Here is a 13,367-nt window from a genome sequence, read left to right as displayed (position 1 = left end):
CACTTAAAAGTTGGGTTGTCACTGTTAACTATGTTTTAAACAGCTGTACGTATAGCTTGGATTGAAAGTCCCCTGGAGAGAAAGAACTAGGTTGTTTCATTTATTGAAGTTTCCTGTTTCTAGGAATGCATTCATTCATTTATTAATTTAACAAATACGTATTGCACACACACCAGGCACTGTACCAGGTGCTGGGGATAGAATGGTAGCGCAACCAGGACAGGTCCCTGCCCTCATGGAACTTATAAACTAGCGGGATGAGGTTAGTGCTGCACAAAAATTGTGACTGACTCATTTGATTTCCTTTGGAATGACAAAATAGAGCACAATTGGTTATCTCCAAATCTGATTATCTGTACATCTGAACAAATAGAGTCTTTTATCATAAAAAAACTAACGGTATATTCAGTAATTGCTAATGCTACACAAAGGAAATTCCTTTTCCAGCCCAATTCTACATCCACTCCCCTCTACTACTATACAGGGCACACGTTCTCCAAGCAGAAAGAGAAGGAGCATTTCCTCTCTGGGGCTGAGGTCAGCCTTGGGCTGAGGCCAGCATGAGTCAGCTTGCCCAGCACGGATGCTTGCCTCTGCCTCAAGGCAGGCCTTGCTATAACCTTGACGCACACAGATAGTGTGTGTATTCAGGGTCCAGGGCAGAGGCCCATGCATATCTGATGAATCTCTCTGGAACAGGGAGTATAAGACCTACTCTGGCTTTGAGTTGATAGTGCAGTAAGGAGAAACATCTGTCTTTTTTTTTTTTCCAAAAAGGAATTTGTTAATTATAACAGGAGCCACCAAACTGTCCATATATTTGATTTCATAATTCTATTTGGGAGAATTTATGTCAAGGAAACAACCTGAAAGAAAAAAAAATCCAAAGATATTTTCATAATAATGTAATTGGTCATCATGATAAATTCTTAGTATCCCAAATACTTCCAATGGAGAACTATAATGTGATCTGTATTAAACATCCTAAAGGTATTAAAAATGTAAAGGATGTATACAATGGTATTTCATGGAAATATCTATATTTAAAACAGAACATAAGATGGAATTCACACATGGATTACAATTACATGAAACATCTGTAGGTATGTTAAGAATAATTGGAAGAGAATTTAGAATATTGTCAATGGGCTTAGAGTTTATTAGCTTTTTTCCCCTAAAAATTCTTTTTTTTTTTTTGAGACAGAGTCTCCCTCTGTCACCCAGTCTGGAGTGCAGCAGCACGATCTCGGCTCACTGCAACCTCCACCTCCTGCATTCAAGCGAGTCTCATGCCTCAGCCTCCTAAGTAGCTAGGATTACAGGTGCACACCACCACACCTGGCTAATTTTTCTATTTTAGGTAGAGATGAGATTTCAGCAAGTTGGCCAGGTTGGTCTGGAACTCCTCACCTCAAGTGATCCGCCTGCCTCGGCCTCCCAAAGTACTGGGATAACAGGCATGAGTCACTGTGCCTGGTAAAAAATACTTTATTAAAAAAAAACCCCTCTTATGAAAATAAGAAACAGCAACTGACATTTCAACATACAAAAGGTATTCTTGCTAGACTTAAAAGGGCAGCACGGAAGCAGTGGACTGTATGTTGGAATTTGTCTGTCTGTCCTCTGCTCCAGCTTCTCCAGGTCCTGAATATGAGATCAGGTTCTGAGGCCCCATCACCTCCTCATAGACCACCCTGATGTCATTTATTGAGACCAAGCATGCATCTCAACTTTGGCTTTCTGGTTGCTATGCACTCTGTGTTTCCCATTAGATATGGCCACCCTCCACACCTGAGGCTGACTCCTTGCCTGCAACACTACCAAGGTGTCTCTTTTGTGTTCTGCCACAGGAGTTCCTCCCAGCACCTTCAGGTGGAGCTGTAACTGGATTATACCCAGGTATCCACCCCATTACTAAAATTCATCCTTTTAAATCTCAATGGCTTTTCGTTTTCAAGGATCCCTATTAAAAAATAAACACCATTGCAAGTTGTACCCTGTTAAAGCCAGTGTTTTATGATATCCTGGCTGGATATCATTGAGTAAAGGCAGCATAGAAATGGCTTTTATTGACACCTATTCTTTGGCACTTTTTTCTTTCTTTTTGAGACCTTTTGAGACAGTGTCGCCCTGTTGCCCATGCTGGAGTGCAGTGGCGTCATCTCGGCTCACTGCAACTTCCACCTCCCAGGTTCAAGCGGTTCTTGTGCCTCAGACTCCCAAATAGCTGGGACTACAGGCAAGTGCCACCACCTGGTTAATTTTTGTATTTTTAGCAGAGACTGGGTTTCACCATGTTGGACAAGCTGGTCCCAAACTCCTGGTCTCAAGTCATCCGCCCACCTTGGCCTCCCAAAGTGCTGGGATTACAGGCATGAGCCACCATGCCCAGCCTGCCCAGCACTTTCTATACATCAATCTTCACAACAACCTTGCAGGAAAGCATTACGGTTTCTCTTTACAGATCAGAGAGGCTAAACAACTTGCCCGAGGTCACACAGCTGGTGTATGACAACGTTAGACTTCAAGCCCAGGCCCATCTGACTCAAAGCTGGGGCTCTTTCAACCACCTCTCACTGTGCACCCTGGGAAGCCTCAGGGAAATCACTGGGCTGGGAGTCAGAAGCCTAGCTGTGTGACCTTGAGCAAGACTCTTCCATTCTCTGGGCTGAGGAAATGGGCAAAAGGGCCCCCAAAGGCCCTCCTTTCCCATTTTACCCCAGGGACCACTGCTAGGCTGTCACAGATCCCCGTATGGCACAATTCTAGGCAATTATCCATTCAAGGGGAGAAGAGGAGAAAGTATCAAGGGTGGCCACCATAGTCAATTCTTCCCCAGCTGTCACATGAAGAAACAAGCACAGGACTCCTTACACACATGGAAAGAAAATCCTTTCTGATGTATACAGCTCTCAGGTAGCAATTTCAAGCTCTGTAATATACTTTTCCACATGATGTGCAGAAAGTGTGGGAATGTTACTGGCTCTCACCATGGGCACAGGATTAGCAGTAAGGAGGTCCTCCTGGGACAGGGTTAGGGGAGCTCTGAATTTGTGGAAAGGGATGGAAGGATGAAATACATCCAGACGTAGTTTTTGCACCAAAAGAAAATACACTGAATGCAAATGAGAGGAAGCATTACATTTGCAATAAAAGCCCCCTGAAAAGGTGAGGCAATAAGGCATAAATTGTTCTTTCCCCAGGAACTACCACTAGGTGCAATCTTCCTGTGTCATCATACACAGATATCTAACCACCTCTCTTAAAAATACAAGACTATACTTTCCTAAGTGTCTTATTGAGCACATCAGGTAAAATGAAATCCAACCTCAATCAAGCGGGATGCCATTTGAAGTTCAACTTCCACCCATTGGTTATTGATGCTGAACTCCAGTCTTCCTCCACCTCTCATGTACCCACACTTCCCAGAGCTCTTTTCCTTCCTGAGTGTCTGCAGCCAGCACTGGGCTAGACTCCACACTCCCTGGGAGACTGTCAGGTCACTTGGCACCTCCAGGAGCTGCCAGGTTCAAGGGAGGGCATGTAGAGAAGGCCTGCAACAAACCTGGCGCAGCCCCGAGGCTTGGCTGCTCTCTCTGTTCTTCTTCCCAAACAGGGCCAGCCATGGGACTATGTGTGTGCCGGTGAGACGGGCCATCCCAAGCGTTAGTGCCAGGAGTAGGCATGGGCCTCTGTAAACTAGAGTTTCTCTCTGCAGCTGCACTCTCACCAGTGGGTCGAAAATTAGTGTGCAGTGCTCTTAAAAGCTCTGATGGCTTTTTTTTTCCCAAAACGCTAAGCATTTTAAAAGAAGGCTTTCAGGAGAAGGATCTGTTAAGTTCCAAAAGTTCAGGCCACAGGCAAAGAATGTAAATGTTTGATACCTGTATGGCCCTATATCTGCACTGACATTTGCTTCTATTTCAGTTAAGGCGAAAACATGGTGAGACAGAATCCTAAACAGACTCTGCTGAGCTGCAGGGGTGCTAACTGATGCTATTAATAGAAGAGATTTGAGGAATTCTTTTTGATACAAACTACTTTGTTAGAATTGACCTTTAAAATTCAAATCAAAGCACTGAAACTCTTTTCTATCATAATAGCCCATGTTATATGTTGTTTCTTTCTGGATAAATTACTAGTCCAGCAAATCAACATGCCTCATTCCAGAGACTCAGAGGAGTGGGGATGGGGGATGCAGCACACGTGATTTTTGTTTTGTTTGTAAGGTCCCCACCCAAGTGATTGTTTCTGAAGTGCAGAAACCACTGCCCTAGTCGCCGAGGTTCACAGCCAACAGCTTTTGTGTTTTCTATTTTTGTTTTAGCATTTCTGGGTTGTGGAGATCAGTTAATTAGAGAAGATTCTGCCAGCAGGGTCAATACACATAGTGTGAGCTGAGCCTAACTCTGGGCTTAGAAAGCTTGCAGTGAGGGGGATCTTTTAATAATTCCACAGATGTTTACTAAGTGCCTACTATGTGCCAGGCACTCTGCTACATGCTGAAGATGGAGCAGCAAGCAAAGGCCTTGCCCTCATAGAACATATATTTCCGAAGGAAAGAAAGAAATGAGTAGCTGTATATTACAGCACATATTACACAAACTCAGATCATGAAAATATGAAGAAAATCAAGCAGGGTGTGGAGGCAGAGAGTGAGGCAAGGTGAGGGGGCTATCAGTTTAGGACACAGTGGGCAGCAAAGCTTTCTGAGAGGTGTAGAGACTGAGCAGAGAACTGAATGAAGGGGAAGGTCTGGGAGGAAAGCCTCCAAGGCAGAAGCAGGCAGAGAGAAACAGCAAGTGCAAGGGCCCTGGGGCAGCTGTCAGCCCACCAGTGAATCAAGAAAAGGCACCCCTTCTTCTGAGCAGACAGCCCAAGGCCTGGGCTTAGAGTGTGGCCGGCAGAGCGTGGTTTGCCTATCAGCCTCACTCTGCCCCCTCAGCTGGGCCGCTGTACAGGGGACAGCCTGTGCACAGCCACAGGAAGCCTCTCCTAGTGGCACATGCTTGGGAGTAAGAGGAGCAGCAGAAAGGCTGGTGGAGAGGAGAGAGGATAGAATGAGGGAGAGTGGTAATTAGCAATCTCAGTCTTTAAAAAGCCTTTTCTTATCTGAACTAACCACTTCCAGTCATGCAGGACAGAATTCAAAGGCAGCTCCTTCGCTGGGCTCTCCCTCCATCCCCCATTAGGAGGACAGTTCTCTGCCATCAACTATGAGGCTGAAGTAGAATTTTAAAACCACATCAGCCCTAACGACGACAACATTCCAATTTGGAAACTTACGACTGGCTATTTCCATGCCTGTCTCATACATAAATTTTCTCCTCCTTCCCCTTTGTATCCCTTCCTTTACAGTATTTGTACCCATGCTAGTCTCTCCTGAGGCAGGCATTCTGTGCAGCTAAGTCAAAAGAGCCCAGCATGTGTGTAAAAACACAGGTATTTTTTAAATAACAAAAAAATCGCAAGTAAAACAGATTTTCCTCACCCCTTCTCCATTCCTAATCCCTTTCTTTATAAGAGACTTTCATTTTCTACTTTATGAATTGTTTAAAATGCTTTATAAATCTACTGCTGACAATTACTCTGAAAGTAATTGTTCAATTGCTTGATATTTGAATTTTTTTTCTTTTTGTGAGACAGGGTCTCACTCCATTGCTCAGGCTGGAGTGCAGTGGTGCAATCGTGGCTCACTGCAGCCTCTGGAGCAATCATGACTTGCTGCAGCCTTGACCTCCAGGCTCCAGTGATCCTCCCACCTCAGCCTCCTGTACAGCTGGGACTACAGATGTGTGCCACCACACCTGGCTTTTACATTTTTTTCTGGACATGGGGTCATCTACAACTATGTTGCTCAGGCTTGCTATGTTCCCACTTCAGCCTCCTAAAGTGTTGGGATTACAGGCGTGGGCCACCACACCCAGCCCGAAAATTGTTTTGATAATTTGTGGAAAAAAAGTATTGTGTGGTGTTGTGTTTACATCTGTCAGACCTGGGTTAGCTTGTGTCCCTCTAAGTGGTTATTATAAAAGAGTTTGAAGACAATAGATATAAGGTATGTACACTGCTGAGGCACCTGTTAGAAATGTTAAATGAAGATTTCCATTGCACTCTGGAGCTGGGAATATGGAATGGAATTGTAGCCCACAGAGTTGTTCCATTCCCATTTTCCTTCCCTACCCACATACACCCCATTAAACAAGGTTGGTATAATCAGGAAGCCTCCAAAATGCAAGAGTGGCCATTCCATTCTCCAGCAGCCAAACCTATGTGTTAATTACAAGTAAGTGAGCATAGGCATTGTTACCGTAAAGGAGAAATCAGAGAATGTGAGAGGCAAGCCAAGGGACAGACAAACAAATTATCCAGGACTGATGGTTCTCCAAGAGATGAAGAAGTGTGGTTGACTCGTGACTCTTAGTTCTACATGGTTTGCTTGCCAGAGGGTGCTTTACCCTCACCCCAGCCCGGACCCCTGTGGGGCTAAGGTCAGGGATGGGGTGCAAGCGTCTGTCTAGCACATTACCTAAAAATAAAAACATCATAAGCTTAATGGTGTTTAGTGCAGCATTAAAATGTTCCTAGTTTCAAAATGGCTGCACCAAATTAAAAAAATCACAAAATGGTTGCATTTAAACATTGTGGATCCATTTCCCTGCAACTGAGAACAGGGGCGAGTCTGACTTAACTTTGTTACGCTCCAATTCACTTCTCTGCTCTTCCACGCCCTGAGCTTCTAGTATCAGCTTTGGACATAATTGGTGTTTACTATTGCTTGTTAAATAGAAAGCTGGGTTGCTTATGGTGGGCGCCTGTGATCCCCAGCTACTGGGAAGGCTGAGGCAGGAGAATTGCTTGAGCATGGGAGGCAGAGGTTGCAGTGAGCCACTGCATTCCAGCCTGAGTGACAAAGTGAGACTCCGTCTAAAACAAAAAACAAAACAAAACAAAACAAAACCAAAAAAACCTGGAGACTGTCTTCTGAATGCTCCCTATAGAGTTACTCACTAATTCCTACCCAGTACTGTCTCCAGACAGGGAGTTAAGTGTGTATGAGAATGGGGCATCTAGAGTTGACATTGGTGCGGAGAGGGAGGGAGGTTGGAGGAGCAAGGCAGGGACCAAGAATGAAACAATATTAATGCATTTAGACCACGGAATTCTCAGAACACAAGGTACAAAGGACTCATGCCACGCCAGTGGGTGCCCATGAGAGTAAATATGTTCCTAGAAAAAAATGTTCCTTGTTAACTGAGCAGAAATGACAAGTGCACTGAGGAGGCTCATCGGCAACCCCAAAGTCTAGTGGTTTTCACATGAAAGGGGCATATGATGTAAGGTTACTGAAACATACTCTTTAAAAATCTATATATATATAGGATATGATACCGTTCAATTAGTTTAGTGATTGGCACCTAGATAATCAAGTTCATAAATATTTTCAACAGACAGATATTGAATCTCAATGAAAAGGAAAATCATTATATTAAAAAACTTAAGGGAACGAGCAGCGACTTTAACTAAGAGCCAAACAGAGCCCAGTGACTGAGATGCCTTCTCCTTGATGTTAAGTAGGCAATGATATCATAGCAGAATGTTTTCTTTTGTGTATTAATCAATTACTATAATCAATATCATTGTGCTAAGTGCAAAGATCATCTAGGAAATCACAGAATCTTCTATTTGCCTCTTTGCAGTGATCTAGGGTATGGCAACCCCCTGGGGATTCACAGCTGTTATTTGTTTGGAGGAAGATGTTCTTTTAATAAATGTGCCTAATCAATGTCCAGCCATCACATTCCACATATACTGTACACATGCCTAATTTGGCATCATTATTTCTGGGGACTTTCTAACCAGATATTATTGGTTCAACTCAATAACACTTATGGCTGTGCTTTGGGCCAAGATGCAACAGGGTGTTTTTCTTATCAGTTATGTTCATTTAATTATTTACAAAGTTTTCTAACAACAATGACAACATCTTAAGATAGAAGGGGAAGCTGTGTAAGACAGTAAGTCTCTTTCCTTGAGATGGTCAAGGCTCGCTACACAACAGCTTCTCAGGAGGCAGCATCCTATAAAGAAAAGGGTAAGGGGTTTGGAATGAATAAAGTTTGACTACAGTTCTGCCACCCAAGCTGCTTAACTTCTTGAAGCCTCTGTGTTTTTTGTCTGAAAATGGGATTAGTGCATTCACCTTTCAAAGAATGTTCTAAGAATTAAGTATATGTAAAACGCCTATCACAATACCTGAATATAGTACATTATCAATAAACCAAAGCAATTATAACGAATGGGAAGAGAGTTGGACTAGATGACTTTAAGGATTAAGTGGCAGTCCTACTCTAAGATTCTAGGACTCTAAGTTCTAACCTTTTAAAAGCTTACGGTACTGAAAAAATTTCCCAGCCACAATGTGTTAAGTGCTTACTATGTGCAAAGATCTTTGTTTCAAGGAGAACTGTTGATAAATAATGGGGAGAAGAAACTCAGTAATCTAGCTCACACACTTGTATTAAGTGTTTCTCAAGTTAAATGGAAGCTATCCAAAAGGCTCTATCAAAAGCAAGCAACAGCCTATGATAAAACAAGTCTCCTCCCCAAAAGGTAACTCTGAATTACATTCAATATAGTAAGTTAATACAAGGCCTTTGTAGGAAAACAATATAGGCTCCAATCAGGAAACAGGAAGGGCAGACCTGGGAAAAACAGCTCCAGAGCAGAGACCACCATCCTAGGTCAAGGAAGCTGTAGAAGGGGCTGAAGGCCTGGGCACTTGGGCAGGTCTGGTCAGAGGTTGGGGACTGTTGGCTTACAGATGGTGACCCCAAACAGCCTTTCCAGCCATCTGAGTGGCAGGAAATGGCATCCATCTTGGATCTGGGAGAGGGGATGGAAGCAGGCTGGACAAACAAGAGCAATGGACTATCGAGAGTAGGTCAGCAGTTTGGGTCGCACATTCTTATCAGGTGAAGTGTTTTGGTTCACCCTCGTGTCCCAACATATTATTTATACATTATCTTCATAGACTACATATTAGTGCATCATAAAACCTTCACAGAGCATGTGCATGGAAAAGGATGACATCTATTTAAGCAGAAGTAATATTTTATTCTTCCCCTTCATTAGTCTTGTGAAACCACTCTAGAGACCCCAGGAAGAAAATAGGTGAATTTGCTGAGGGAGGGGAGTGTAGCATTGTCACTCCCTTCATAAAGCCTTAGAAAACCAAAAAAAAAAAACCCCCCACCCCCAAAACAAAAAGCATCCTCAAGTTTCCCTTAGCTTTTCTTCAAAACAGATGCCTGTCAGCTGGGCGCAGTGGCTCACACCTGTAATCCCAGCACTTTGGGAGGCCAAGGTGGGCGGATCACTTGAGGTCAGGAGTTCAAGACCATCCTGGCCAACATGGTAAAACCCCGTCTCTACTAAACATAAAAAAATTAGCCGGGCATGGTGGCATGCAGCTGTAATTACACTTACTAGGGAGGCTGAGGTAGGAGAATTGCTTGAACCCAGGGGGTGGAGGTTGCAGTGAGCCGAGATCATACCACTGCACTCCAGCCTGAGTGACAGGGCAAGACTCCACCTCTAAAAACAAAAAACAAAAAAACAGAGAGACATGTCTGTCACCCAGTCAGTAGCAGGCAGGAACAGTGCCAGATAACTCAGTCTCCCACTGCTCTCTCCCAGCCCTCTACCTGGCTTTCTGATTGCACTTGTCACTAGAGGTTGCTACAGTTACACCTGATACCATTAGATTTTCCACAATTAGGAAGCTTAGACTATATGACTTGGTAGTGACTATATTTGACCTGTCAGATCATGGCTGTTTTCCATTTAGGGAAAAGGGAAGCACTTTGTTTAAACTATATATATATATATATATATATATATATATATTTTTTTTTTTTTTTTTGAGACAGAGTCTTGCTCTGTTGCCCAGGCTGAAGTGCACTGGCACAATCACAGCTCACTGCAGCCCCTGCCTCCAACGTTCAAGTGATTCTCCTGCCTTAGCCTCCCAAATAGCTGGGACTACAGGTATGCACCACCATGCCTGGCTAATTTTTGTATTTTTAGTGGAGACAGGGTTTCGCCATGTTGGCCAGGCTGGTCCCGTACTGCTGACCTCAAGTGATCCACCTGCCTTGGCCTCCCAAAATGCTGGGATTACAGGCGTGAGCCATCGTGCCCAGCCTAAACTATATATTCTGAGAAGAGGGACTGAACCCTACAGAGTTCTCTCTTAATACAGAGTCTTGGGTACAATTAAGCACTAGGTCCATAGTGCTGTGCTTTTCTTTCTTCCTTTCCTTCCTTCCCTTCCTTCTTTCCTTCTTTTTTCTTTCCTTTCTCTCTCTCTCCTTCCTTCCTTCTCTCTCTCCTTCTTTCCTTTTCTTTCTCTCCTTTCTTTCCTTTCTTCTTTTCTTTTTATTTCTTTCTTTAGTTGGTTGTTTTCTGGCTAAAAATTAGACAAGAAAAAATTATTTCCTCTAAAAATAGGTATATTATTAGCCAATAACACAGCATATTTTTCTGCTGGTTTTACAGATAGCTAACTGCCCTTACTAAACAACATCAAATTTGCAGTGGCATTTTTACATATACTTAATATTATTCCTGTAGAAAGAAACAAAAACGTGTAGTTGGTCTACAAGAACATTACCAAAGCAAACCAGACTGAAAAGAGCATTCATCCCTTTTGCTACAGTTTCAACACATGACACATGACTGCATTTTGCAGCCAGGACCCCTCAACACCTGGATGTACAGAGCCTCCACTGAACTACCAACACCACATTTGTGGTCTTGATTTAACTTTAATTGATAGAACTAGCTGGCATTTGCCTCTAAATGCCAGCAGTGGCTTTCCAGTGTAACTTGGTGATTCTTGTCTGTCAAAAACTTTGCAGTCAGTCCTGGTTACCTTAGAGATGCCTTATGTCCCAATGCACCTTCAGGGAATGGCACCCTGCTCATTGCTTCTGTTTAGCCAAGTCCAGAGGATGTGAGCATGGTTCCCACTGACAAGAGACAGTTTGCTGGAGTTAAAACAAACTACAAAACTCAGCCTGTGCAGGATTTGGGGGCCACATTTTTATATCTCAATTTAAAAAGTAAGAGAAATTAATTCTATAGATTGGTAGCAATTAAGGAAAAGCCATATTGCTGTTTTACTTTATAAGTTAGGTCAGTTTTGCTGTTTCCTTAGTTCCTTTTTACTGAGCTTTGTCAAGGTATAGCAAGGACAGCTGACTGGGCTCTGCACCAGTGAACTTTCATGAACACCACTCACTCCATGGCATCAACTGGTTTTGTGCCTCAAGCAGGGTAGGGGATGTGTGAGAAAGGACAAAGGCAGATATCACAAAGACTTTTTCAAAGACTTAACATGAAACATTTTTTTTTTACTTTATAAAATACTGATTTTTTAAAAGAACATATTTTATTAGAGTCAATCTCACCATTCTTTGTCATAAAGATATTTTATCTAACTCAAGTTTTTGCATACCCATTTACAGTCAATTCCATTGTTTTGCTTGAAGTGAACTTTCTATTATATTTTTCTAGATTATGTAAGCGAGCTGATTATGCAACTAAGAGTGTGGTAAATATAAGAATTATTATAGGATCACCATTTTTACACGTGACAGCTCTGGTTGTTTGTGGAGTAACAAAGGGAATATGAAAAAAAAAAAAGTTCGGGCCTGCCCTGGATTCAAGTTTATCATTCCTACACTTGATTAAAACACCTAAATTTAATCCATTTTACAAATAGCCATGGGTCCTCAGTCCAGATATAAAAGGAAATTAGATTTCAATTTAAAACAAGCTACAAACAGTGGAAAACCAGAAAACACTAAAATAAGACACTGGCTAAATAACTACAACAAAATCTCACTTCTTAAAAATCCACGCCTAAAAAAAAAAATCCACTAGACAGGAATGTGTGGCAGTGCAGAAAGGCAGAAGACTGAAGCGCACGTTTGATCTAATTGTGTAAGAGCTTGCTAAATCAGTTACTACTTGAAAGTATACTTCAGAGAGAAGACTGAAACTTCTAGACTGTTTCTAGCATCCTTAAGTAACTGCAGACACTTATAATACTGAATGATATCCTAGTTATAAATAATTCTTATCCATAACTTAAATCCATCTTGAGGCTCTACTAAGTAAATCTTCCTTAACCTACTTAGAGGATGTGCAGTAGCGATGAAAGTAGCCTTTCTTTTCTTTTTCTTTTTTTTTTTTTTTTTGAGACGGAGTCTCGCTCTGTCGCCAGGCTGGAGTACAGTGGCGCGATCTCGGCTCACTGTAACCTCCTCCGCCTCCTGGGTTCCAGCGATTCTCCTGCCTCAGCCTCCCGAGTAGCTGGGACTACAGGCGTGCGCCACCACTCCCACATAATTTTTTGTATTTTTAGTAGAGACGGGGTTTCACCGTGTTGGCCAGGATGGTCTCAAATCTCTTGACCTCGTGATCTGTGTGCTGGGAGTACAGGCGTGAGCCACCGCGCCCGGCCTTAAGCCCCTTTCTTTAAGGCTCAAGGGCATATTTTCACACTGCAGTGCATCACAACCGTTTTCATTCTTCCAGTGTTCCTTTCTTCTGGTCTCCAGCCACCTGCCAGGTACTTCTGATTAATTACATATAAGATTTATCCAAGCCACCCCCTCCGTTTCTACCAACTGGACTTCATTCTCTTCAGTTCCTGCTAGAATGCACCTCCTACCTGAAGTCTTCCCTCATCAATGCCCTCCATGATCAGCCTTTGACTCTGGAATCCCTTAATATATTCCTCAGATCATTAGAGGTTTTCTGAGTCATCATCTGAGATTTTTCATTAAATTGTGGAGTTTGAGCAGCCAGTCCTGAGCTGTCGGACTCAGTTCCAAATAGAAGTCCTAGTTAAAGACACAAAAACAAGAAGATGGGTTAGCTGCGGCTCGAAGAGCTGGTGAGCGCGACCACAGGGCAGCTTGCGGACGGTTCTTTCGGACAGGACAAGGGCGAGGGAAACGGCAGAATGGTGACGCACCTGAGTGCGCCCACTAGACGAAAGAAGACCAACTAAGCCTTCGTGTAGTGCGTAGACAGGCCGACACACACACACACACACACACACACACACTAACACACACGCAAAGACAGTGAGGGAGCGAGAGGCGCATCCCCAGGTAGCTGACAATGACACGGCCCCGATCCGGACGCGGGCTTAAAGCCCCCCGACTTCCGGAGTGCCCCCCTCCCCGGCGACCTCCGGAGATTACCGCTGGCGCATCTCTCCGCCCTGCCCGGCTCCGGCGCCCTCCCCTCCCCCCGCAGCCGCAGCTCCCCGCCCCCCGCGAACGCGGCTC

General features: G+C 43.5%; 1 long non-coding RNA gene across 1 annotated transcript in view; it reads right to left on the bottom strand.

Moving 5' to 3' along the window:
• The window catches only part of PAQR9-AS1 (PAQR9 antisense RNA 1), a 37,033-nt gene extending 23,712 nt beyond the window's left edge, over nucleotides 1-13,321 (bottom strand). The window contains exons 1-2 of the long non-coding RNA NR_125393.1: nucleotides 13,281-13,321; nucleotides 12,743-12,914 (exon numbers count right to left, since the gene is read on the bottom strand). This is a non-coding gene — a long non-coding RNA (PAQR9 antisense RNA 1). The remainder of the gene's footprint in view (nucleotides 1-12,742; nucleotides 12,915-13,280) is intronic.
• Nucleotides 13,322-13,367: the final 46 nt, after the last annotated feature.

The sequence above is a fragment of the Homo sapiens genome, chromosome 3, assembly GCF_000001405.40.
Source record: "Homo sapiens chromosome 3, GRCh38.p14 Primary Assembly".
Classification (NCBI taxonomy): domain Eukaryota; kingdom Metazoa; phylum Chordata; class Mammalia; order Primates; family Hominidae; genus Homo; species Homo sapiens.
The sequence above is the reverse complement of the archived record's forward strand: the minus strand, read 5'-3'. Positions and strand labels throughout refer to the sequence as shown.